At 40.0% G+C, this 27,272-nt stretch overlaps 3 protein-coding genes and 1 pseudogene across 3 annotated transcripts, besides 1 other annotated feature; all 4 read right to left on the minus strand.

The window, feature by feature from the left end:
- KRTAP3-4P (keratin associated protein 3-4, pseudogene) lies at positions 1,117-1,356 on the minus strand (annotated as a pseudogene).
- KRTAP3-1 (keratin associated protein 3-1) lies at positions 5,118-5,725 on the minus strand. Its single transcript, NM_031958.2, has one exon. The coding sequence runs from the start codon at positions 5,669-5,671 to the stop codon at positions 5,375-5,377; it is 297 nt and encodes a 98-aa protein (NP_114164.1). The 5' UTR covers positions 5,672-5,725; the 3' UTR covers positions 5,118-5,374.
- Positions 5,726-22,622: 16,897 nt separating this feature from the next.
- Positions 22,623-23,805, minus strand: KRTAP1-5 (keratin associated protein 1-5). Its single transcript, NM_031957.2, has one exon. The coding sequence runs from the start codon at positions 23,750-23,752 to the stop codon at positions 23,228-23,230; it is 525 nt and encodes a 174-aa protein (NP_114163.1). The 5' UTR covers positions 23,753-23,805; the 3' UTR covers positions 22,623-23,227.
- Positions 25,882-26,431: an enhancer, noted in NCBI's record as "H3K27ac-H3K4me1 hESC enhancer chr17:39185537-39186086 (GRCh37/hg19 assembly coordinates)". NCBI's record gives its function as "activates a minimal SCP1, AML or CMV promoter by ChIP-STARR-seq in primed H9 embryonic stem cells {active_cell/tissue: H9 hESC(primed)}" and the evidence as "EXISTENCE:reporter gene assay evidence [ECO:0000049][PMID:30033119]".
- On the minus strand, positions 25,948-26,792 carry KRTAP1-4 (keratin associated protein 1-4). Its single transcript, NM_001257305.2, has one exon. The coding sequence runs from the start codon at positions 26,673-26,675 to the stop codon at positions 26,310-26,312; it is 366 nt and encodes a 121-aa protein (NP_001244234.1). The 5' UTR covers positions 26,676-26,792; the 3' UTR covers positions 25,948-26,309.
- Positions 26,793-27,272: the final 480 nt, after the last annotated feature.

The following is a 27,272-nucleotide window of genomic DNA, read 5'->3' on the forward strand; positions in this document are numbered from 1 at the left end:
TTGTTGAATTGGATTACATTTCAGATTAGAATTAAAAAGGTATTTATTTATTTTTATAATGGCCTTTTATAACAGTAACACTTTATATAAAGAGAGTGATTCATTTTTTGTGTGAATTGCTTTACAGTTGTCAAAACTTTTTTTTTTTTTTGAGATGGAGTTTTGCTCTTGTTGCCCAGGCTGGAGTGCAATGGCACGATCTTGGCTCACAGTAACCTCTGCCTCCCGGGTTCAAGCCATTCTCCTGCCTCAGCCTGAGGAATAGATGGGATTACATTCATGCTCTACCATGCCCGGCTAATTTTGTATTTTTAGTAGAGACGGGCTTTCACCATGTTGGTCAGGCTGGTCTTGAACTCCGGACCTCAGGTGATCCGCCCGCCTCAGCCTCCCAAAGTGCTGGGATTAGAGAGGCGTGAGCCACCATGCCTGGCCAACATTTTTAAATTCAAAGATTTACCTAAATGAGACAGCGAAAAAAATGGGCTTGGCTCAATCTTTGAGGTCCTTTCTGTGAGCATGTTGATCTCAAATTGCTAGCTTCACTGCCTCTTTAAGGACACGTGAGTTTATTTAGAGGCAGGGAAAAAATAAAAATCAAAGGTAGATGCTGACCTTGGCATTTAAAACGATTCTAAGCTTAGAGCCTAATGCATTTCACTATCCTCACAGTTTTCTTCAGGTATCTACGTATGCCTGTGAGGCCTCTTTTTGGCTATGAAATTTATGTTGATGTCATCAGAAAGTGTAATTCTGCTGGATGTATTTTTAAGTTCATGATGCATGTGTCAAGAGTCGTTGGGTAATTATAGCATTAAATGTTGAGGCAGTATGTGGTTTGGGGAGTAGTGGTGTTTATTTAGTTTTGAAGTAAGGGGATCCATGGTAGCATTTTTTTTCCCATTTCTCATTTGAAATCATTGTTCAAAACAGGAAAAGAAAACTTCTGTAAAACTGAAGGCACAGTGCTATATTTTCTTCCAAATGGCCTCATTAAAGGCCATTTGCTGAGCAGCGCTTAATGACTACTGAAGGTCCTCAGGGTAATGTGGGCAAGCTCTTTGGCTAGCAGCAAGGTGGTTCACACTCTGGATGCAGGTGGTGACAGAGAGCCCGCTCAGGGTTGGAGCTGGGTGGCATTTGTTGAGCAGTCAACAGGATGGCACATAGGAGTCAGGCATGCAGCCAGGCAGGGGCCAGGTTCACAGCAGGTGGGCTGAAGGAGGCTGATCTCATGAGGACAGGTGCTGGGTAGGCAGACTTCACATTGACAGCTTATGTCAGAGGGGCAGATAGTGGTGGCCAGGCCAGTGGGGACGCTGCAGCATCCTTGGAGATAGGAATCACAGCAAGACATAGTGACAGTGGACCAGGACAATGTTTTGTGGCAAAGGAAGGCTTTCTTCTACAAGGTTGTCCTCTATGGGTCTTTTATATCCACCTATCTCAGGGAACACGGCTTCTGTCCATCAGAATGTTGGACGGAACATCCTTGTTGCTGTTTACCTAATTCTGTAAAAATAACTCACTAACTTCTTATGTATCAGACAGGGGATGAGCTCTCCTTCAGTTTTATTTAGTTGTGTTGCTGCATTCAAACTTGCTTTCTGTTGTAGTTTCAAAATGGTGTCAGTGTAGTTTTCCACTTACTCACATGTAGACACATCCATACTGTATTAGTCTGTTCTCATGCTGCTATAGGGACATACCCGAGATTGGGTAATTTATAAAGGAAAGAAGTTTAATGGACTCACAGTAGACCCACCTCAGCCTCCCAAAGTGCTGGGATTACAGGCACGAGTCGCTGTGCCTGGCCTCAATAACAATTTGAAGGAAAAATGAAATATCTTGTTTTTTATTATATTATCAAGGATAAACAATTATTAATGTTAAGGGCAGTTGTTTTACCTTGATTATTGATGCTGAAGTTGAACTGAAAATGTGTTTGAGTTGCCAAACATTCTGCATTTCAATTCAAAGTTAATGATGCAGCCAATATTTCTTCTCTGCTGACACTGCTAATCAGTAAAGTCTGACTTTTTAAAAAAGGTTTGTTCTTAACTTAGAAACACGGATACCTTTTTTAATACTCATTGTATACACTCATTTTATTTTAGACTATAATCACCACAGAGAAAACAGAGAAAACAACAAAAGATACAATTGACAGGGATAGTAGAGAATATATTGTCAAGTGTCATATACTTTCTCCTGAATAAAGAGAGCCACCTATAGTCACATTTCTCTTTGACATATTGCTGTCTGTGGGGAAGGTGAGTGCTTTGGTGTAGTGGAAAGAGAAGGGACTTCGGACTTAGTTTGGGGTTTAAGTCCTTCTCTCTCACTTATGATTTATGTAACTTTTGCAAGTAATTTAGTCTTTCTCAGCCTGAGTTTCTGCACCTGTTAGTGGCCTTTCTTCACCTGTTAGTGATGCAGGGCAGGGGAGCCCCAAAGTGGGGCTTAGCCTGCAAGGGTTCTTGGCTTTGCCTAGGGAAGAATTCAAGGGCAAGCCAGAGGTAGAAAACAGCTTTATTGAAGCAGCAGTGTTACAGCTCTGTGATTGCTCCTGCAGAACAGGGCTACCTCTGTAGGCAGAGAGTAGCAGCTCAGGGCAGTTTTGCATATTTCTACCTACTTTTAATTAGATGTAGATTAAAGAGTGGTTTGTGCAGAAATTTCTAAGAAGGAGTAGTAAGTTTTAGGTCATTGGGTCATTGCCATGGAAAGGGGTGGTAACTCAGGTGTTGCCATGGCAATGGTAAATTGACACAGCATGCTGGTGGGCATGTCTGATTGGAAAGCTGTTTCTGTCCCCATCCTGTTTTAGCTAGCCCTCAATTTGGTCCAGTATCTGAGCCCCGCTTCTGGAGTAGAGTCCCACCTTCTACCTCATTAGTATGTCCAGTAGATACTCACTCAGTGTGAGCTATTCCTAATGAAAGCAGTAAAAGTAATGAGGTAGAATGGGCTTGGTTAGTTGCATGGGGTACTTGTTACTTAGAATGCTTCTGGATGATCTAGAATCATAGAATGTTAAAACGAAAAGCAACCTTAGAGATGGTGTGATCAACCAACCCATTTTACTGCTTTAACACCTGAGACCCCAAGAACTTAATTGACTTGCTTAGGGCCACAGAGGCAGCTCAAGGCAGAGCCAGGACTAAAACAACACATCTTCTGGTTTCCAGTTGGGGATTTATAACTAGGCCAGGGCCCGTGAATGCTAAAGACCATGGTAGTAGTAATAGGAACTTCGAGTTATTTTAGGTATTAAAAACAAACTCTAATTTTTATCCCTTACTAGCATGTATGAAAACATGAAAATTCTTTGTTTTTGACTAGAAAAAAGGTAACTTGGCATGGTAACAAAGGTTATTCTATAGTAATCCTAAACATTTAATTGATATTTATAAATGTATTTATGAACACAAATGAAGGAATTAATAAACATTTTTAAGAAAGCCATTTGGGAAAAATACATATTTCAAGAAATAAAAAGATGCCCAACCTACGTATCCATCATCCAATGAGTGGATAGAGAAACTGTGGTATGTATACACCATGGAATACTACTCAGCTGTTAAAGGGAATGAAACAATGTCTTTTGTGGCAACTTGGATGGAGCTGGAGGCCATTATTCTGAGTGAAATGGAGTGGGAAATTACAGGAATGGAAAACAAAAAACCATGTTTTCACTTATAAGTGGGAGCTAAACTAAGTATGCAGATGCATATGGAGTGATATAATGGACTTTAGAGACTCAAAAAGTGGAGGGTGGGAGGGAGGCCAGGGATAAAACACTACACATTAGCTACCATGTATACTCCTTGGGTACGGGTGCACTAAAATCTCAGAATTCACCACCACTATATAATTCATCCATGTAACCAAAAACCACCTGTAACCCAAAAGCTACGGAAATAAATAAATAAATAAATAAATAAATATTTTTAAAAGATGTCTTTTGGTGAGAAAGTTGGGAACTTCCATATGGCAGTAATGGTGAGAGTCTCTCATGTGTAACAGGTTGATGCTGTGGACACGGTGGTTTCTACACTTCAGGGCATCTGGTCCTCACAATAATCCTGAGACAAAAGCAGGGCAGAGAGTAATAACAAGCTAACTGAGCCTGTAGGAAACCAAGCTATAGGTAGGAAACCACGCTATAGGTAGGAAATCACTTTAATAACAGGGAAATTGAGACTGAGAGGGAAGCAATTGGCCCAAAGGCCAAAGGCAAGTCCAAAAGTGTGTGTGTGTGTATATATATATATATATATATAATCACAATACCTTTATTTTTTGCAAAGACCTAATTGCACCTAGATTTTTCTAAGATAAATAAGGACATGAATTAGTGGTTATCGTAGTAGTTTTGTTCTAATAGAAACTGTGTGTTTTTGCTCTCAGAATTGTGTGACTATTTCTGGTGTATAGAAAATACTACACTGTAGTCTGATATTTTAAGCATATTTCAATGTCATGATATTATATGTCACTTAGACTAGCAAACTTCTAATCATAGTCATGACTAATGTAAACCAATGTAAGCCCCATTTGAGGAATCAATGAATACTCGATAAATGCTAACATTAATTAAAAATGGATTGTTTTGGAAGACAGCATATATGAAGAAATGGATATATACACTTCTCAAAATTGCTTTGCATTTTGAGCTCAGAATTTCAGATGACTGTGAGGACTAGGATAATCAAATTATTTATACACACCAGCACAGTGATCAATTCATTTAGTCAATTAAGGAAGAAAGAAAAATCAATGTCAGAATCAATGGAAACTAAAATCAAGTATTTTTAAAACATTCTGTTAATCTCTAGACTCTAGCATAGTGCTTGCACAGTGGATGTCTTCCAATAATATCTATTAAATAAATATCTGTTAAATAAAAAGCTTCTATAAAATGAACTACCACATTTTTTACTTTTTAACTTATCACAAATAACCAGTATCTATTTTTTCGATAAATTCCACTATGAGAGCTCTTATTCTGTTGGGGTAAATCTTGGATAGTGTGATAACCTACTGTTCAGGTTTAGGTAGGCATTCCACTTTCCCTAATGGGAGACATGAAAATAAATAATCACAAGGTCATATTTGCTAAGCCAGAATAAAGTTTATTAACAAATGGTCAAAATGGTTATTTCTCAAAGAGTGATGAAATAGCCTAAAAGACAGAAGGGAGGTCTCCAATGGTACCCAAATGTGCAAATAATTAAGAAGATTCATCAAGACTTGGCCCCGGGGATTGGGATGGCCTTAGCCTTGATGTAGGCAGTAGTGAGTGCTGAAGCCCAGATGGTGCAGAGGACATTGGGCAGCCACCTCACGGAACCTGTGCAGACTCGGCTGGTTAACAGCGGGGCTCACAGGGACTCTCACAGCCAGGCTGAACATAGGTGGTCAGGTTGATCCCACTCAGTCCGGGAGTCGGGTGACAGTTGTTGAGCAGCCAGCAAGTTGGCACATAGGTATCAGGCTTGCAGCAGGGTGGGGGGCAGGTGTCACAGCAGATGGGCTGAAGGAGGCTGATCTCATGTGGGCAGGTGCTGGGTAGGCAGACTCCACAGCGGCAGCTTTTATCAAATGAGCAGAAGGTGGTGGCAGGGCCGGTGGGGACGCTGCAGGAGCGGAGAGCACAGCAATACATGGCAATGGGAGGTGGGTTTTTGTTGAGTTGAGAGAAGTCTGTTGGTGTCTCGATGCTCCTCTCTTCTGCTCTGGCTCTTATATACCCATCTCCCTGGGCGTCAGCCTATTACTGAGGGTTTTTCCCCCATGTTTCAGTTTATAGTTATTTCCATAAAAAATGCCTAATTACTTAAGTGTTTATTACCTAAGATACACTGCTCACCTCATAAAAGAGATTTAGGTTGTTTTGTTGTCAAATTAGGACTATTCACATTGCCAGTGTGTCACTACACAGAAATCTTCATTCCAGTCTTCAAAGGTACCGGGCCATTATCTTCTAATCATTATACCCTCACTAATAATGGCTCGGTATGCCAGGCATCTGCAAACGTTTCCCACTTCTTTTGTTTACTTTTCAGATGAAGAGGACAAGTAAGCTTTTTGTTTGCTGTTCTACCAGTGACTACAGGTTCTATGTGATCCTTTAGGCCCTCAGGCTGAAAAAGTGATATAACATTTTAGATTTATTATTTGTGGCTCCAATAAACTGAATGAAGATGAATGGATAGAATCTATAGAGAAATAGATTTTGGTTTTGTGTAAAGAGGCACTTTCAAACAGAGCTATAACAAATCGTTTGTTCTGCATTCCTTTCAAATATGCTCTGAACAATAACTTGGTAAGAACATGCAGGTGGGAATGAAGACCTTCATGGGTGACAAAGATGGGTGTCCTTTAAGCTCCATCCAACTGTGTTATAAATGGAGATTATTTATAACCAAAAGGCTGGTTGTATTGGGCCATTCAGAAGCTAAATGATGCAGTATTTACCAGACTGAGTTCCATGAACACTGGTTCCAAGGGACTTGAAAGTGTTTTCTGGTAAGTAAGTTTGGGAAATGCTGAATTCTTCATTGTTGGGCCTCTCGGAGCCTTTAATGTGCTAAAATGCTCTATGACTTTTCAATACAGAGATATAGCATATATTTTTCTCCAAACTTACTTGACCATGGACTGCTTTTTGTTTGTTTTCAGAGATTAGCTCTATAGGTCAGTGCTTTATGAAACATACTTGGGGAGATTTAGCAACATCTTACAGCAAGCTTGTTCAACCTGTGGCCCAGAAAGGCATTGAATGCAGCACAACACAAATTCATAAACTTTCTTAAAACATTATGAGATTTTTTTGTGATTTTTTTTCTTTTTTTGCTCATCAGCTGTCATTAGTGTTAGTGTATTTTATGTGTGGCCCAAGACAATTCTTCTTTCAATGTGGCCCAGGGAAGCCAAAACATTGAACACCCCTGTCTTACTTCCAGGCTCTGTGGTCCAGAATAGAGACATTTCCGAGTTTCATCTAAACCACTAAAACTCTAAAAATAAAGTTTTAAAAGTAGATAAAGGTAGAAAATTTAGTATGATGATTTAGAATTACTTTAGAATATGAAAAATACTAAACTGGTAAAACCTTTAGAAATGGCTTACTTAGAAAGGCTTAAAAACATGTACATATTTTCTTGACCCATTTTTTCAGATAAGATGGCTCAAGTTCTAAAGTAGAAAATTGCACAATGCAGAGGAATCAGAAGCCAAATGAGATGCAAATCAACAAGATGTTGGATTAAAAAAATGCTTAGCATGAAACTGCTTTCTTTTTAGCCATTTTCTTATTGGAATGATTTTGCAGTTTTGGATTCCTATGCTAGAATTTACATCTCTCTTAGATATTTACATATCAAAATTAGAATTTACATATAAAATGCTCATTGATTGAACACCTGTTGTATGTTGGGCATCATGCAAAAAGTCGCAATAGGCTCCTGCCCTTACAGGGGTCATAGAGAAGAAGACAGACACAGAGAAGTAAACCAGCAAACAATAACAAAGGATTGTACATTTAGATTTTCCAGGTTATGATATGAGAATTTAGAGGTAGAAGCCACAGACTTCTCCTAGAAAACTTAGGAAGCCCTTCACAAAAAGAGAACATCTGTTTGGATCTTGAAGGGTGAAAAGGAGCTGAGCAGATAGAAATAAATAGGAAGGAGATTTCAGCCATTGAAACAAAATGCCACAGGGCCCCCATGGTATGACAAAAAGTGTTGCCTGGTTGAAGCATAGGTTCTGAATCTGTTGGAATGAAGACGGAAAGGTGGGTTAGTGCCACAGTATGAAGAATTTGTACTGTGCTTAGTATCCTACACTTAGGATTTTGAACTTTATCTTGTAGGCAATAGGCATTATGTAAAGGTTGCTGAACAGGCATGTGACATGACTAGATTTTGGAAGGATACTGTAGTTTTTGAGGGAAGGCTCATCATGGTTATCATTGCCACTTACTAAGTATTAGGTAATGTGCTGAGTGCTTTGCATGCATTATTTCATACAGTTCTTACAACAACCTTATGATGATGTATGCAATGATATTATCCTTGCCCTTTGACAGACGAGGAACCTGCAGCATAGAGAGGCTAAGTAGCTAGTGGGTGAGTAGCTGGCATTTGAAGCCAAGCAGTATGGCTTCAGACTCCATGGTCTTAATCACTGTGCCAGATTCCCTCTTGCTTTAGGGGTATTGTCTGACTACAGTGCAGAAGACCCTCAAGATTAGTTGAGTGTAAGATTGGTAGGAAGGATGAGGCCAGGTCATTGAAGGTCTTGGGACCACAAGGGGAGTTGAGTTTAGAGCTATTTTCTTAATCAAAAGACTATGCTGTAGAAAGGAGGAAACTTGAAGACAAGGACAATAATTAGGAAACTATTTGGGTGTTCTAGGGGAGTGAGGAGTGTCTTAGAAGATATCATAGTTTTGTGGGAATAGAGAAGTGGGAGTTACCAGAGATTTCTTATCACATCATTCAGTTTTTAGGGACCACCATCTGGGTGGTACAGCAGTTTCCACAATAAAATTAATATTTTTGTTTTTAAGGTAATGGGAACACTAATCCTCTGCTAACACTTTTCATGGATTGGATGTATACCATGTGTCAGGCATGGTGCTAAGTATTATTGTGCATCTTCTTCCTTACATCTTACAACCCTTTAAGATCACTATTGGGTACACTATTACTGTACCCATTTCCCAGATGATGAAACCAAGAATAAGGATATTAAGTAATGATTCTAAAGTCACACTACTAGTGAACGATGGCTCACCTAATAGCAATAGTTTGCACAAAATCGATATTTTTGTGGAATTAAATTTTATATAATTGTAGATTATGCTCATGTATTTTTTAAATTTATTAATGCCCTCAACAAAATGTCTAAGACTATGCTAGGTGCTAAGCATAGAGCAATAAACAGGTCAGATAAGGTCCTTGTTGTCAAGTGGGAGAGACAGACAATAAGAAAACTAACAAATGAATAAATAAGAACTCCAGAGAAGTGCCAGGGAGTGTATTACCTTAGTTAGAGTGGTCAGAGTGGCTGGACTATAGTGAAGACAAGGAGCGTAATAGGAAATGAGGTTACAGAAGGTGGCAGGTGGCAGGCCGTGTAGGATTTTGAAGGAGTATAATAGGAAATAAGGTTACAGAAGGTGGCAGGTGGCAGGTGGCAGGCCGTGTAGGATTTTGAAGGAGTATAATAGGAAATAAGGTTACAGAAGGTGGCAGGTGGCAGGCCGTGTAGGATTTTGAAGGAGTATAATAGGAAATAAGGTTACAGAAGGTGGCAGGTGGCAGGCCATGTAGAATTTTTTAGTTGTTCTACACAGTTTAGATTTTACTCTAAGGGTGTTGAAATCCACTGGATGACTTAAAGAAGGGAGTGATAACATTTTCCTTATGTTCAAAGGAAAATGAACTACAGCAGAGCAAAGTGGAAACTGGCACGACTAGAAAGTGTGAGGATAGACAGTTGATGCTAGTTTTTGATGAACTGTTAAGAAGTGGTAGAGTTTGGAAGCCCTTTTGAAAGTGGAGATGATAGGTCATGCTGATTGAGAGGATGTGTGGAGCCAAGGATCATGTCTAGGTGTCAGATTTACTCGTAGAAACAGCTGCTGTCTGGGGTGATAGGAAAGGGATTGGAGATGAGTTTAGTTTGGGACCTACAGACAAAGCATCCTGAAGCCGTGAGAGGGAGCAGAGCTGGACGTGCAGATTTGGGAGGCTCCAACATACAGGAAAAATTTTGCTTACAATGATGTGCCTGGACTGAGAACGAGATAGTCACTTTTATGTGCGTTAGTCATGTTTTGCTGTGAGCCACTTTGTGCCTTACGAATATCCATCTCCCAACAACTCAGTGAATTTGTGGGTGGCTGTTGGGAAACACCTTCCACAGTGTCACCTCCTGAGTCAGCAGGGATGTTAGGAAGCTTCACACCTTAGGGCCACTCAATTTTCCTAAAGCCTGTTGGAATTCTTCATCCCTTCACAAAAGCAGGATATAGAAACCTTTAAAGTTTGTCATCCTAATAAAAATGTCTAGTAAATAAAAACATTTGGTCTTCATTTCCTGAATTGCATGATCTTTGAAACTGCCAGTGCATTCCTTTATAGTATAGATTGAAAGAAAGAATGGCTGGTATCAAGGCTGCCATTGACATCAATTTATTCTTTGTTTACTTTGCTATATGCTGAAAATTCATGCAAAGGATTCTGGGCTTGGGTTAAATGGTGAACTTTGGGAGTGTTTTCCAGTTGCATCAGATTTTTTTTTTTTCCAGTTTGTGGTTATAGTCAAGCCTGATATATCTCATCACCTTATTAGCTTGCACTGAAAATTACCCCCAAATTGAATTTCTTTTAAATGGAAGTAGTGGTGTTTTCCACTTGAGGACATCTGATAGTCTCTATAATTGTCATCTGGCAACATGCAGGGCTGATCTCATAGCTTTCAGTCCCGTGGCACATGCAACATTCTTGCAAGTGATTGCTTAGCCAGCTGGCTGGAAGTGTTACCTATTTTTCCTGGGAACCCTAGGCTTTCAGTTTAATTCTTATGTATTATTGTAGGCTGTGGAGTATACAGATAGTAACAGATAATTCTTTATGATTAACTAATATATAAAAATATGTGTTAACTAAAATTAATATGTTTAGGAAAATAGACACTCCATAAAATTTGAGTACCTACTATATGCCAGGCACTGGTAAAATAAAATTTTCAGCTGCCTACTATGTGAAGTATTGAGATATTTAAACTTACAATTATTCTAGAGTAAGCTTTGGAATTTTCATCCTTGGAATTATTTTCTAACAATAGTTGTACTTTATAAATTTATTTTGAATCAGAGACTTTTTTCTCCATTGATTAGATAAATCTGACTACTGTATTGAATTGAATGACCACTGATTTTCCAAAGAGCTCCTGCAGTACTTGAAATTTTTTGAAGAGACTTAATTGTTATGTATTTAAATATTAGCTGACACTATGGCTTTAAAATATACTTTGAGTTTTTAGCTTATTTTACTAAACATATAGTTGGCTATATGGTAAGGGCAAATTCTCATACAGAATTTTCTGTGTGACAGATTTTTTTAAAAGTGCACTACACGTATCATGTCATTTAATTCTTACCACAGCCCTATGAGGTTGGTATTAAAGCTATCCTCTCTTTCATAGCTGAAGGAAACTGAGGCATAGAGTGGTTAAGTAAGTTGCTCAAAGTCAATAGCTGGTAAGTGATGGAATTAAAATCTGAACCAAGGCCACCTGACCCCAGAGTCTGCATTCTTAGTCACTATACATTAGTTTATAATTTCTCTATTATTGATTATTGCATTTTTCAAGAGAAAATATATAACTTGGTTTATTTCAACCTATCTCTGTTGAGCACCTGCTGTTTGCTTTGTACTGTGCTAGGAGATTTAAGGCATTCAAGGACAAGCAGGACATGGTGTACTCTTAAATATCTGAGAATTTACTGGGATTCGCAGGGTACACAGGGCTTGAATGCAAGGCAGAGGAGTAGGAAGGCATTCCAGCTATAGGGAACAGCAGCAGTAAATGCATAGAAGTGGAAAAGAACAAATGGTTGTTAGGAAGCCATGAATAGTGCGCTGTGTCTAGAGAACAATTGTGTGAGATAAAAGCAAGATGTAGAGTCTTGACCCCAGGATGAGGTGTTTGAACTTGAATTAAGTAGACCCATGGAGAACCACTGGTATATATTTTTCTAAGGCAGGAAGTTACCTCTTTAACTCCGTCATTTGTAAATATGGCTAATGTTACTATCACATTGATAGGATGTTTAAAGAATAAATTAAAGAAAGCATTAAAATGTGCAATGCAGTGCCTGGAACATAGTAAGTCCTCAATAAATGATTCTAATAGGTGTGATTGTTGTTACTAAATAAGCAGAGGGAGGCTGGAGCTTTTTTCTTCCCCGTCATTTTCAGGTATTCTTTCTCTCCGACGATAGGGAATCTAGGGCTAAATTTGGGAGTTTAGCTTTTAGGTTTCCCACGCCTGGAAAGCCTGCCTGTTGATAGTCTTCATTATAGTTTTTGTAACCAGTGAAGACCCCGCCTCCAAAAAGCAAACTGTGCCCCTCGACCTTGCTTTGCTGGAACCCTGTGAGATCACTGGTAAGCAGTGTGCACTCCTCATGTCCCCTCTACCACGTTGCCTTTTTCAGGAGGCAGTCATCACAAACGCCTAGCAGGATTTATTACTCAGAGGGGACTGAAGAAATGCTCTAGCTGCTTGAGCGTGACTTCTTCCTCATTCTTTCTTATTACTATCTGTGATTTACATGAAGTGACACAATTTATATTTTGATACAGTTAAAAATTTCCTCTGTAGAATAAGATGTATTGCAACAGCTTGTAATTATAGCCGGTCAGTTTTCCTGAGTGGAAATTTGACATCTGAGTCCATTGGGATGAAAAGAGCAGAAAGGAGGAAGATAACATGAGATAAACGTTCCCACTAATATTGTGTGTTTTGATTTTCGAGAGTACACCACGCTCAGTGCTGGAGGTGAAGATTTGGAAGGCTCCAACATATAGATGAAAACTGTGCTTACTATGAAGCGCTTGGACTGAGAATGAGATGACCATTTTTATGTGATCCATTTTATTCAAATGGAATACAACATCACCCTGAGCAATGCTCTTCCTATTTTTAAAGCTATTTTCCACACATGACTATCTGGCTCATGCTATCCTCTCCATAGCCAAAAGGGCTTTCTGCTCCTGAAGACATACACTTGAGTGGAGAAGAGGAATAGAAAATAAAATTTCTGGAGCACCTACTATATGCCAGGCATATTACTATTAATAACCTTATTTGTTATTCACAGCAATACTGTGACATATTAGAACCCCCATTTGATATAGAAGACAAAAACTGAGCTTCTGAGAAGACTTGTCTAAGGTCACAGTCAGTGAGTGAGTAGAGTTGGGATTTTAAACTCAGGTCTTCTGATTCCTTTCTCATCCCACTCTCTGCCCCTTCCTACAGTTAAAAACATCTTCAGAGTGATTAAAGTGTCAACCTATACTCAAATACAATAGCAGTCCCCATTCTTTTTGACACCAGGGACCGGTTTCATGGAGGACAATTTTTCCATGGACTGTGGGTGGGATGAAGGTGGGATGGTTTTGGGATGAAACTGTCCCACCTCAGACAGATTCTCACAAGGAACGTGCAACCTTGATCCCTCGCACGTGCGGTTCACAATAGGCTTTGCGCTTCTGTGAGAATCTAATGCCACCGCCGATCTGCTGAGCTGACAGGAGGCAAAGCTCAGGTGGGAACACTTGCTCCTCGGCTGCTCACCTCCTGCCATGTGATCCAGTTCCTAACAGGCCAGGGACAGGTATCGCTCTGCAACCCGGGGCTTGGGGACCCCTGAGAAACAACATAACAAGTTTGTTTTGCTTAGTACACGTTAACACACAAAACAAGTGTTTTGTATGACTTCTAGTCTCAGCTTCTGGTTCCCTCTAACTACTATCCCTGGCTTTTGTGCAGTTCTCTTTCTGTTTGGTCCCTTCTGATCACTAAACCAACAAGCGTTGGAGTAAAGGGCAAAAATGTTAACCTCAGAGTTTCCTGAATTCTATCTCTAGGATTCTATTGTTTTGTCTCCCTCAACCTCTCCTGAATAGAGAACGTTGAATTTCCTTCTGTTCAGAGTTTTTTGTGGCTGTTGCTGTCAACCTCTGCCATCTCTAACTCTTCTCAAACTTCCTCATGCTTCCTGGCTTCAGTTGCTCTGAAAATCCTGAGTTCTTTCCCTTCTTCCTACCGTAAGGTTATCAGCCCACTAGGATCTTTTTTTTCCAGGGTCACAGGTGTCATCTTTTGAACAAGTCAGTACTGTCTTAGAGATAACATAATTGTAGTTCTTTACTCTGGCCCCATTTGGACCAAGATTTCTCTGATCCTTTTGGGAAAATATCTCGTTTGTTTCATTCATGCAACTAAAATAAATAAGATATTAAAAAATTGAGAAAATAAAAGTCGAAATTTTGTATGTTAAATATTAACCCATTAAAAGCCAGGAATTTTGATTTTCATGTTGTGTATTCTACCACTCCTGTTTCTCTATCCCATATTTGTAATGCAAGAACAAAGAAGAAAAAAGAGAACGTGCTTAGAAATGAATAGGCCCAACATAGGCTCATAATAGTTGGTGCTTTGGATTAGTCTCTCTCAACCTCACAAAACAATTTTACTAAACTCTCAAATCTCCGGTCTTACCCAAGGCTTTCATGCTTTAGTTGATGTGATGATTCAACATTTTCTCCCTTCAAGTTTCTCAACATCCCTTTGTGTCTTTGAGCTTTTAAAACTAATTCTGTCTAATCGCACTTAACAGAATAATCATGATGGAGAATAGGTTTCTTAAGTCAGAGTTATGATTCTGGGGATAAGTCAGTCATTAACAAAGGGCCGTCTGCAGTCAGGTCTCTGGGCACATCCCACTTTTCATGGAAGGCCTTTGATAGAAAAGGTGGAACTTTCTTAACTACAGAGCTTAATGTTGTTGAGTAATCTTTCTAGTTTCTCAATTGGATTCTAACAGGTCTAAAATGCTGTAATTCTCTGACTGCCATCTCCAAAGCTCAGATATAATTTTTTTCTCATAATCCACTATGGTGATTAATGAAAGGGAGTAAGTGAACATTCTGTACAAATGGCTCACTAAATAATCTAATTTTTCAAAGGCAGTAAGAGTATAACAGTTAGGGTCCCGCAGAAGATGAGAACCAAACCCTTTCTTTTTCTATTGAATAAAATTCATAAGAATAATTTTTAAGCTGTTCACTAGGTAAAAAAAGAGGACCCTAAAATACCACAAATGTGGAAACTGCAGAAAGCCCTAGTTTTCCAGGGAAGCTTTAAAGGCCTAGCTTTAAATGCAGGAGGCAAGGAATTAAACCTTAGAGAGGGAGATGTCCTGTAGCGCTGAAACTGTTGTTTTAAGAGAGGACTGGTTGGTCCTGGTGACCCTGGAAAGGAGACAATGAAGCTGGTTCTTCAAGTGTTGAGAAAACTGCAAACTGAATTCGTGTGCTGCCATGGGCAGGATCTGCACCTGCTGGAGTGAGAAGTGTGACTTGGGGCGATTATCCTGGGATCTGCTTAGCATACAGGAAGTCCCAAATGGAGCAGAAGGAAGGAACAAATCCTGCCTTCCTATTCCAGCTTTGCAGTTTTCCTCTGTCACCCCCTAGTAGAAAAGCCTAACAGAACTGCGGTCAAAGCCACAGTGTGTTTTGCAGAGTACAGAAGGGAGGCCTTGAAGCCGAGAAATAGGAACATAATGGGCACAAAGAGGAACTTATTCTGAAGCCCACAGCTGCCCAAGGAGATATCCTTGGATCTACTGAATCTCCCAACACCAATCTTTACTTCCAATTCCTTAACTTCATGGTCTCATCATGAATTTTGGGGTCAGAGTTGGGTTTGTATTTCTGTTTTTTACTTATGAATAAACTATTGAACCGCCTTTAGGTTTGATTTCCTCATCTACAAAGGTAAGGTAACAGTATCTATTTTACAGGATTGATGTAAGTATTCAATGAAATTAGGTTAATATGAAGCTTACTTAGCTTGGGGTATAACATACGGCAGTAGCCCCCAACCTTTTTGGCACGAGGGACTGGCTTCATGGAAGACAATTTTTCCATGGACCAGGGAGGTGGGTAGGATGGTTCAGGATGATTCAAGGGCATTACATTTATTGTGCACCTTATTTCTATTATTATTATAGTGTAATATATAATGTAATAATTATACAACTCACCATAATGTAGAATCAATGGGAGCCCTGAGCTTGTTTTCCTGCAACTAGATGGTCCCACCTGCGAGTGATAGGAGATAGTGACAGATCATCAGGCATTAGAGTCTCATAAGGAGCCCACAACCTAGATCCATCACATGCGCGGTTCACAATAGGGTTTGCGCTTCTATGAGAATCTAATGCCACAGCTGATCTGACAGGAGACAGAGCTCAAGCAGTAATGCTTCTGGCCAGTGGCTCACCTCCTGCTGTGCTGCCTGGTTCCTAATAGGCCACAACTGGTACCGGTCCACTGCCCAGGGGTTGGGGGCCCCTGCCTTAATAGATTGCTCCTGTGCACATCCAGCCTTATAGTTTGGTGGGTAGATAACACCCAGCTAAGCATGAGAAGCTCAGGTTGCACAGTCATTCCATTTTTTCCAGTTCTTGCCCACTAGCAAGCCGGAAGTAGTTTATCAAAAGGACAGTAGTTATTTTCAGAGGAGGGCATGGATTTTCTCCAAAACCTTATAAGTCTGACCTGTAATTCTTCTATTGATGCTTGCCAGAGGCTATATACGGTGAGCGTGTGTTTTCCATAGACACTTCAAATATGGTTGGATGTGCTGGATTATAAGGCTCAAATGAAATAGCAGCTTGAATTATAGCTGGGACTTTTCTTTCTTTCTTCTTCTTCTTTTTTTTTTTTTTTTTTTTTTATGGAGTCTTGCTCTGTCACCCAGGCTGGAGTGCAGTGGCGTGATCCGGGCTCACTGCAAGCTCTGTCTCCCAGGTTCAAGCAATTCTCCTGCCTCAGCCTCTCAAGTAGCTGGGATTACAGGTGCGTGCCACCACGCCCATAGCTGGGACTTTTCTTTAGAGCCTTCTCTTGCTCTTGCCCTAAAACCTAGCAGCATTTTGAGTTATTCATTAAGTGGGTTGAAATAACACACTCAAATATGGCATATGTTGACCCCAAAATACAAAAATGCCCACCAAGAGTTGTGCCTTTTTAGCTGAAGTTAGCTTAAAATACAGCAGTTTTTCTTTCACCTTGGAAAGGATATGTCAGTGTGTTCCAGACAATTTGACTTCAAGAAACTTCATTGAGGCTGTGAGCTTTTTAATTTTTGTAGAGTTTGTTTCTTGCCCTGGAGTTCATTAATGTTTTACCAAGTCCTCTAAGGTACTTGTTACTTCCTGCTCATCAAATGTCACCAGCAAGATGTCATTGATGTAGTGGACTGTTATGATGTTGTATGGAAAGTCAAGATGATTAATAGCATGAGTATATTAGGACAGAGAGCAGGATAGTTGACATAGCCCTGAGGCAATGCTTGGAAGGTTACTGTTGGCCATGCCAGGTCAAAGAAAAGTACTTCTGGCTGCCCTGATACAGAGAAAAATGCATTTTCTTGTCAATAGCTGCATACCAGGTGCCAGGGGCTGTCTTAATTTGCTCCATTCAAGATACAACATTTGGGACATCATCTCCAGTTGAGGTCATCACCTGAATTCATTTAAAATAATAATACATAATTGTTCTGTTATACTCCAGGGTTTATCTGCTTTGTCTACGGGATAAACAAGCTCAATGGGGAGATGGTAGGTATCACAACCCAGCTTTTTCCAAGTCTCTGATAATGGCACCCATCTTCAAAATTTTCCCATCAATATAGTATTATTTTTTATTTACTATTCTTGTATCAAGGAAACTTCTGGGGGCTTCAACTTGGCCCTTTTTTACCAAATGAGCTTTATTCCTCAGTGCCAATGTGGGGATTCTGCCAGTTGTCAAACATGATTATTCCAATTATACATTCACAAATTGGGGAATTGTCCTGCAGGCCCACTGGGTCCACTGTGATTCAAACGTAGACCAAGATTCTAACTATCATCTGGCCACCAAAAGTCACCACTTTTTTTTGGAGGACCAGTGGCATTTGGGTCTCTAGAAATTAGTGTCAACTTAGTGTCTAATAGTTCCTGTGATTGGCAGAATTTCAGCCTCCAAGGCCTCTGAGCCCTTGTGTCATGACCCAAGGTCATGTACCTTCAACCCTAGGGTCAGTAGCTGCTTCCTGTAGTTGCTACTTCCATGTTCAAATAATTGGCATGGATTTTGTCTCCTCACTAGATGCTGACTGATAGAAAAGTTGTTACCAGGAGTGGTCCTGGAAAGTAGACCTTCATAGATGGGACTTGGGGATGTTATGTAGCATGTCTGCTACATAACAAAAGGGACATTTCAAATGTAATTAAGGTTACTAATCAGTGGACTTCAAGATAGTGACAATAGCCTGAATTATCCAGGTGTGTCCAGTGTAATTATATGTGCCGTTAAAAGCGGAACATTTTTTTCCCAGCTGACAGCAGAAGAGGATATTGGAGAGGGAAGTGGGGGTAGGGTAGGAAATCAGAGATTCAAAGTATAACATGAACTTGACCTACCACTGCTGGTTTGAAGATGGAGGGGACTATATGAAAACATGAGAAAGAAATGAATCCTGCCAACAAAACAATTCCTGGAAGAAGACTGAGCCTCAGATGAGGACCAGCTGATACTTTGGTTTTATTCCTGTAAGACCAAGAGCAAAGAATCTCACCATGCCCTGCTGTACTCCTGACCCACAAAATCTGTGAGATAATACATTTGTGTTGTTTTAGGTTGCCAATTTTATGGTAATTTGTTAGAGGAGCATTTGGAAACTAATACAATCCCCTGAATATCTGAGTATAGATATCAACCAACATTTTAATAGGCTTCCCCTTAATTTCATTCCAAGGATACCATAATAAACTATCTACTGACAGATCCCTGTGGGTCAAAGCATTCTGGCTACCACTATATCTCTGTTTCTCTTTACAGTGAATGTACAGTTGTCTCTCAGTGTACTGGGTGGGGGGGATTGGTTCCAGGCCTCCTGCATATACAAAATCTGCACATATTCAAGTCTCACGCTCAGCCCTGTGGAGTGTTTATGAAAAGTTGGCCCTCCATATATGCAAGTTTTGCATCTTGAGAATACTGTATTTCAATCAGTGTTTGGTTGAAAAAAATCTGCGTGTAAGTGGACCCATGTAATTCAAACAGGCCAACTGCACTTACTTTTACTTTGGTAGTCAAGTTTTGTGACTTAGCTTCCAGTGCTCTGAGATCCTATTATCTCTACTGAAATCAAGGAGAGGGAGTATCTCCACCATCATATCTAGGCTACTGCAAGAGTCCCCCATGAATATAAAATCCTTGAGTGAAGGCAGTTTTCTCTGGGACTTTTGGGAAGTTACTTGGTGCTGCGTATGTGTGCAGTGTAACATGATAAATCTTCTCCAAAATTCCTATCTCCTTAAGTCTTTGATTCCTTTCCTTTATGTTATGTCAAAAAAGTCCTGACATCTGAGCATCAGTAAACATAGGCCATGGTTGATTTCAAGTTTAAACAAACAAATCAAATAATTCTTTGTACAAAAAATTTACATCCAGAATCTTTAAGTGTAACCACGTCATTTAGGCATTCCATATAAGCAACTTCCCCAAGTGAGACTATAAGAGTGTCATATTCCATCTTCTTTGGTTTACTACCCCAAAAATACACTTACACATATTCCTCAGGTTTCTGCTAATATATAATAATACAATAATGTTTTTTAAAAATACACTTTATTTCCAGAGTAGTTTTGAGTTCACAGCAAAATCGAGCACACAGGTTTCCTATATACCCTGTTTTCACACATGTGTAGCTTCCCCCATTATCAGCATCCCCCACTAGAGTGATACATTTTTTACAACTGATAAATCTACATTGACACATAATCACCCAGAGTCCATAGTTTTCATTTGGGTTCACTTTTGTTGTTGTTCATTTTATGGGTTTGGATAAATACATAATTTGTACCCACCTTATAGTATCATACAGAATAGTTCCACTGCGCTAAAATCCTTTTTTTGTTGTTCCTATTCCACCCCTTTTACCCCAACCCCTGGCAACCACTCATTTTTTTAGTCTCCATAGTTTTACTTTTTTCAGAATGTCATATACTTGGAGTCATACAGTATTTAGCCTTTTCAAATGGCTTCTTTCATTTAGTCATATGCATTTAAATCTCATCTATGTCTTTTCATGACTTGATAACTCATTTCTTTTCAGTACTAAATAGTATTTCATTGTCTGGATGTACCACAGTTTATCCATTCTCCTACTGAAGGGCATCTTGATTGTTTTCAAGTTTGGGCAATTATGTATAAAGCTACTTTAAACATCCATATGCAGGTTTTTGAGTGGACATATGTTTTCAACTTTTTAAGGTATATACCAAGTTGTATGCTTGCCAGATTGTATGGTAAGAATATGTTTAGTTTTGTAAGAAAACATCAAACTGTCTTCCAAAGTGGCTGTACCATTTTCCATTCCCACCAGCAATGAATGAGAACTCCTGTTGCTCCATATTCTTGTCAGCATTTGGTGTTGTCAGTATTCTGGATTTTGGCCTATTGCATGTTTTTTCATGTATGAGCTATTTTTCCTGGATCATACATTGTATTTGCCCTATGGAGCATCTGAAATGTGATCAGAAATACAGGACTAGTAGGAAAAATTTATAGTTATGGTGGCTATTCAGCACAATAGGCATTCCATATAAGTACATTTCCCAAGTGAGGTTATTAGAGGATTTTCCAGCAGTGGACAGCTGTTCTCATCAGACTCAGGAGGGAAATCTATTTTTACTGGTAGAGGAGGCTCAGAATGACTTGGAGATTCAAGATCTTCAGTCCCCTTTGAGTTCAGACAGAAATCCTTATGCCAGGTTTCAATTCTAAAACTTCTTCTTTATCAATTCCCTAACTTTCACATGACAGTCTTGTTGAAGCTGTGAATTCAGCTTAACTTTCAATTATGCAACTCACACAATTAAATTTAGTTAGTGTTTAATATGGGGCAGTATCAGTCCTGTGGCTATAACAAACAAGTTATTATTTTAGGGCTGCTGCTGAATCTTTTCTGTATCTCTGATTATGACCTGACCTGAGATATTAAGGTCTTGAATTTGCCATTTTTCTTTCTGAAAGCACACAGTACACTCAGAAGACATCCTCCACAACAATGCTTATAATCATCATGACTGTCTTAATAGTCAAGAGCAGCAGCAACTTGAGCCCCCAAGCCACTTATTTCAATAGGTGCTTTATTTAAACAACAAAAGTAATAATGGTGATGTTATTGCATGCAATGCATTTCATTTTTTATTGGCAAGGAGTTTAACACTGGGTTCAAGCTCAGGGACTTTACCAAAGCAATCCCCAAGTCCCATCTATGAAGGTCTACTTTCCAGGGCCACTCCTGGTAACAACTTTTCTATCAGTCAGCATCTAGTGAGGAGACAAAATCCATGCCAATTATTTGAACACGGAAGTAGCAACTACAGGAAGCAGCTACTGACCCTAGGGTTGAAGGAACAAGGAAGAGTTAGGAGTTATTAAAATGTGTAAGTTTAGAGGCTGGGTCCTGCAGAACTGACAGTCATATTTTTTCTTGACATATTCTGATGGCTCTGAACTTGGAGGATAGTCCCAGTGGACCTGACTCAGAATTCTGAGGATGGGGTGCTGGCTGGCTGGAGCAAGGCCTAATATGGAGAGCTGGAAAAGCAACAATGTGGCTTGCAGATTTCATCACTAACATCATAAAGCTGAGTATCGTAGGGAGGATGTGGAGTTCTGAGACCACAACTTAACCAGCAGCACAGAGTAACTTATTCTGAAGCCCACAGTCTCTGAAATAGCCGTCTTTAAATCTTACAAACTTTCCCACACGTTTCTTTATATCTATTTTCTTAATTTCATTCTCTCCATAAATTTTGGAGTCAGACAGAGTTGCATTCAGATTTCAGTTTTGTTTCTAAACTTATGAGCTATGTGACTGTAAGCAAGCTATTTAACTTCTTTTAGACTTACTTATCTACAAGCCAGGATCACAATATCTATTTCACAGGATCAGTATAGATGTTATGTGAAGCAAAGTTCGCATGATGTGTACCTGGCACATGCACAGCATATGGTACTAACAAGGCCACGCTGGTTCACCTCCTTTCCCTTCAGGTGTGTCTTCTCCATCACTCTTCCTCCTTTTCTTTCAGCCTCTCATACCTAGCCTTTTTCACTGTGTCTTCTCTCTGTCTTTTCTCCTATATTTTGTTCTCTTCTCCCCCTTTTCATTCTTGTCTCCATCCTTCGATACCTTAATTCATCTTGCTTCATCCCTTTCGTTGTCCACCTACCCTTACATGGCCAATGATCCTCAATAAAAGAAAAGCTCCCACATTTGCTTTCGACTTGGAAATATGTGTCTTTTTACCATTACTTAACTTTTTAATGCACTTTATGTCTTCTTTGGTGTCATATATAGGAAATTGCCATTTTGAGAGCTTGCTGCAGTTTATTGCATAGTGTAATGGAGTGCAGTAGCATGATCTTAGCTCACTGAAACCTCTGCCTCCTGGGTTCAAGCGATTCTCCTTCCTCAGCCTCCCAAGTAGCTGGGACTACAGGTGTGCACTACCACGCCCAGCTAATTTTTTTTTTTTTTTTTTGTATTTTTAGTAGAGACAGGGTTTCACCATGTTGCCCAGGCTGGTCTCAAACTCGTGAGCTCAGGTAATCCACTCACCTCAGCCTCCCAAAATGCTAGGATTACAGGTGTGAACCACTGCTCTTGGCCTCAAGTAGACATTCTTGAATTATAAGCAGTTAAACCAGGTGATGTACAAGTGAAAACAAAGACAATGGTTTCTTTGCCTAGTATATAATATTTATTAAGAAATGACAGAAGACATTGTATCACAGATATAACTGAAATATCCAGCAGGCAAGATCATTATGATCCAAAAACCAAGGGATGGATCAGATGTTAAAATGTGGAAAGTCCAGCCTACTTCTTAGAAGCTGAATGTTGGGTGATGAGCTTCCATTCTCTCTGGTGACTTGAGGAATGTCACTTGGCTATAATTTGGTGTCTTTGATGTTGCAAAAAATTTTAGGTAAACAAGATAAAATAGATTATAAAGCATGGAAACATTAGACTTGTGGATAGTTCTCATGGATAAATTCCACAACATGTCAGTAATTTTTAATCCTGCAGAAATATCAGAAATAGTATATCCCAAGCAAATTGATGATCAGCAGGTGGCTTTGTAGCATTTCTGTGTCCCCAGTGAAGGGTCAAGGTATTCATTGTAGAATGGAATCAGATAGAATTGTGAGCTCATATACTTAGTAGTCTCCATCACAAGCAATGCAAAGTCTGAGAACTTGTTAGTGGTCCAGAGGTGGTCAAGGGATGAACAGTTCAGAGACACTGTGACCTAGGCAATTGAAAATAAGCAAACTGGCTTTCAGCAAGTGGGCTCACAGCAGCAGACTGGGCGGCAGCAGGACTGTCCACAGTAGGACGGGCGGCAGCAGGAGGCCTGGGCATGGTGCAGTTGGCAGCAGGATGGGGGCGTGCAGCTCACCACACAGCAGGGGGGTAGGTAGGTGCCCTCCACACGACTGTCTGGGCGGCACCACCTGATACGGGTGCTCACAGCTCCACTGCTGCCCTCCTGGCCATAGCTGATGCCACCACCAATGCCACAGCCAGTTCCGCAGGAGCTGATCTGGCAGCAGCTTGGCTGGCAGCAGCTGGTCTCACAGCAGCTTGGCTGGCAGCAGCTGGTCTCACAGCAGCTTGGCTGGCAGCAACTGGAGCTGCAGGTCCCACTGGTTGAGAAGCTGGGAAATCCGCAGAAGCTAGTCTGGCAGCTGCGTGGCTGGCAGCAGCTGGTCTCACAGCAGCTTGGCTGGCAGCAGCTGGAGCCACAGGTCCCACTGATGGAGAAGCTGGGATATCCACAGAAGCTGGTCTGGCAGCAGGTCATGGTGTCAGAAGTTGGGTTAAGAGTTAGGTTGCTTGGAGGAGTTTCTGAGGTTTGGTGGTGACTTCCACGTTGGTCCTTTTATATATCTGAACCAGCTGCTGTTTACAAAATTGTTAACATATTTTCTTTGTTTTTGTTTAAATTTGTTACTCCGTGGATCTCTGATTGGCTTATGTTGAAATACTTGTGACACATTATGAGCAATAGTTTAGAAATTACTGTTTTATAGTTTCTTCTGGACTCCTCATATCAGTCCTTTGCTCTTTGGAATATGTTTGTGGTTTCCCATGTTCAAAGAGTACTTCCATTTTAGTCCAAATGAATGCTCTCATTTTACATAATAGTTATTCCACGTGACAATCTATCCATACCTCTAAGGCTAAGAGTAATAATTGTGCTGTTATATTTAACTATTATTTTTTCCTCCTAGATATATAGACTAAATTTTATTGAATTTTGGATATCTGGATATCTACTGAACTGAAGGAATACCTTTGGTCATACATAATTCGCAGATTTCACCTTTTTTTGTTCCAATGTCTTATTGAATTACCGATTATAGTTCCTTTGATTTCAACCAATTTGGAATGTGTGACTATTATTCCTGTTCCAGACCAGAAATCTGTTCTTGGGAACCAAACTGACATAGTATTTAGGAAGGTATCCAGCAGAGTCCTTAGTTTGTGGTAGAACCTTAATAAATGTTTACTGAATCTGATTCAATAAATGTTTATTGAATAGGTGGAGTAAAAGGCTTGATTCATGGATATCAATACCACTCAAACATGATTAAAGAGAACTTTCAAGCTGTAGTACTTCTCATGAAAGAGTCTTGTTATTTGCTGTAAAGAGACTAGGAAATGTGTTTTTTGGTTTATTTTATTTTATTTTTTGGATTTAGTAGTGGAACCGGGCTCGGGAAAAAATATCTAGGAGTTATGACACTTTGAAAAATGTACTGCCATCTACTTTATTCCTCTTGGAAATTGCATAATTTTGTGTGTAATCCATCATTGCTACCAATTAAATATAGAGGTAAGTTCTGGGAGCTTGTAAATAATGTGGAAAACGTGTTTCTTTCTATATTTGCATCCTATTGTATTTTGTGTATTACACTCTAATGCCTAATGAAGAATTTAAAAATTAAATGGTAAAATATGTTTTGTTTTGTTCTAGGTTGTGTTAATTTTTTTTTTTGAGACAGAGTCTTGCTTGTTGCCCAGGCTGGAGTGCAGTGGCGTGATCTTGGCTCACTGCAAGCTCTGCCTCCCAGGTTCACGCCATACTCCTGCCTCAGCCTCCCAAGTAGCTGGGACTGCAGGCACCCACGACCACACCTGACTAATTTTTTTTTTGTATTTTTAGTAAAGACTGGGTTTCACCATATTAGTCAGGATGGTCTCAATCTCCTGACCTCGTGATCCACCCATCTCAGCCTCCCAAAGTGCTGGGATTACAGGCGTAAGCCACCGTGTCCAGCGTGTTAACTTCTTAAGAGAATATCTTTTAAGTTGGGTTGCAAAGTGCAAAATATAATCGAGCTGTTTCAGATTTCTAACACTTCTGTCTGACAAATGGCAATGGTAGAACTCAGCGGGTGCTCTCTATAGCTGTTTCTTCTACTATCATTTAGACCAAAGATACACCTTATGCATACGTACATCAAATGAAGGTGAATAGTGGGAGTTGAAGCTTAGAGAGCAATTCAAGGATCAGTGGGAAGAATGTGAAAGGCTAAGGTGTAGAAATTAAACCTAAATTCTCTTGGAAAATAGGTAGTATCTAGTAGCTATTTTTAAATCTATTTAGAAGGTAATGCAATTTCTTTAGATTTTGGGGCATAAATGAAGGAGAACATTTAGTATATTAAATGGAAGGAGACAAAAGATGGTAGAATTACATTTAGATAGAAATCAATAGCTTTGATCAACCTTAACATTTTAGCTAAAGGTCAACCTTTATTGGTCTAGACCTAATCATAATAGATTAGAGCATGTAAATATTTGAACTATAAAAATTCTTTAATTCATGGAGCATTTTTAAGCTGATGGATTCAAGCATAATTTACTTTGTATTTAATCTTTCTGGTTTAGACTTTATGGTTATGCCTTGGTATTATTATCAAATTGCAAATCCACTCTTGAATACCAGCTACAAGAAGACATGTTTAAAGGTAGAAGGAGGACATAACTCAGTTTGCTTTGCACATTAAAACATTTTATTTGGATTAATCAGAGATATTCAAGGAAAAACCAGGTCTGAAGATGCATGAGCATCAAGAGAGAGTTGGGGGAGCAGAGATGTCACTGAAATGATGAACTATTCCATCCTGGTCCTCTGCTCAAGCAACGCAAGCTATCCAGAACACTGATTGATACATCTTTCAGTAAGTGAATTCGGCACATCCACAGTGTCCTAACTAGGAGTTTCATTATCTCTGAGCAGCTTAACAACATCATGGTACTTAGCATCCAAGTAAAATCGAACAGTTCTTCAGAAATCAGCACAATTTTGCTGTGCTTCCCCTTTCATTCTTAAGCGATCAGCAACCTGGCTTTTAGCAGGTGGGCTCACAGCAGTGGCAGCAGCAGGCTGGGCGGCAGCAGGACTGTCCACAGTAGGACGGGCGGCAGCAGGAGGCCTCGGCGTGGTGCAGCTGGCAGCAGGATGGGGGTGTGCAGCTTACCAGGTAGCAGGGGGGCAGGCAGGTGCCCTCCACGTGGCAATCTGGGTGGCACCACCTGATACGGGTGCTCACAGATCCACCGCTGCCCTCCTGGCCATAGCCAATGCCACCACCAATGCCACAGCCGGTTCCGCAGGAGCTGGTCTGGCAGCAGCTTGGCTGGCAGCAGCTAGTTTCACAGCAGCTTGGCTGGCAGCAGCTGGAGCCACAGGTCCCACTGGTGGAACAGCTGGCCATGGTGTCAGGAGTTGGGTTGAGAGCTGTGTTAAGAGAGGTTTCTGAGTTTGGGCTGTACCTTCTATATCTGTCCTTTGATATGTTCCCTAGAGCTGCATATTTACCCAACACCTTTTCTTGATGTCAATTTCAGTGTGAGTCTCTGGCTAATACCTGAGGTGTTTATAAAGTTATAAATAGCATTTCAATAGCCTTTTTCCATTGTACAATTAAGTCTCATTATGTTTCTTCTTTGCCCTCTGGGCGAAGTGAAGGCTCATCATGGAAGCCAAGCACCGAAGTGCCTCTTTATGCAAGTCACATGACAGACTAGCCTTGAGCCAAGTGTCGCCCTGGCACGTTTTGTCATAGTTGTCCTTTGATAACCTTTAGGCAGAATTTATCTTAACTGATCATTTTTCCTTAAATGGTCACTTAACTATGATCATGATTTTATAAACAATTTGTCCAGACTTGGAAAGACTAACATTAGTGTCATCAAAACATGAACTACAACCTGATGTATCAACTTTCAAACCAAGTATGCCTTTCTATGATCAATTTGTGCAAGTTATAGGATCCTCAGAGCTCTATCTAATATTCTTGCCTTCAGTAATA

This window comes from Homo sapiens, chromosome 17 (genome assembly GCF_000001405.40).
Source record: "Homo sapiens chromosome 17, GRCh38.p14 Primary Assembly".
Classification (NCBI taxonomy): Eukaryota; Metazoa; Chordata; class Mammalia; order Primates; family Hominidae; genus Homo; species Homo sapiens.

Coding starts and splice junctions, on each gene's coding strand:
- KRTAP1-4 (NM_001257305.2), bottom strand. CDS start 26,675: ATGGCCAGCTGTTCCACCAGTGGGACCTGTGGCTCCAGCTGCTGCCAG.
- KRTAP1-5 (NM_031957.2), bottom strand. CDS start 23,752: ATGACCTGCTGCCAGACCAGCTTCTGTGGATATCCCAGCTTCTCCATC.
- KRTAP3-1 (NM_031958.2), bottom strand. CDS start 5,671: ATGTATTGCTGTGCTCTCCGCTCCTGCAGCGTCCCCACCGGCCCTGCC.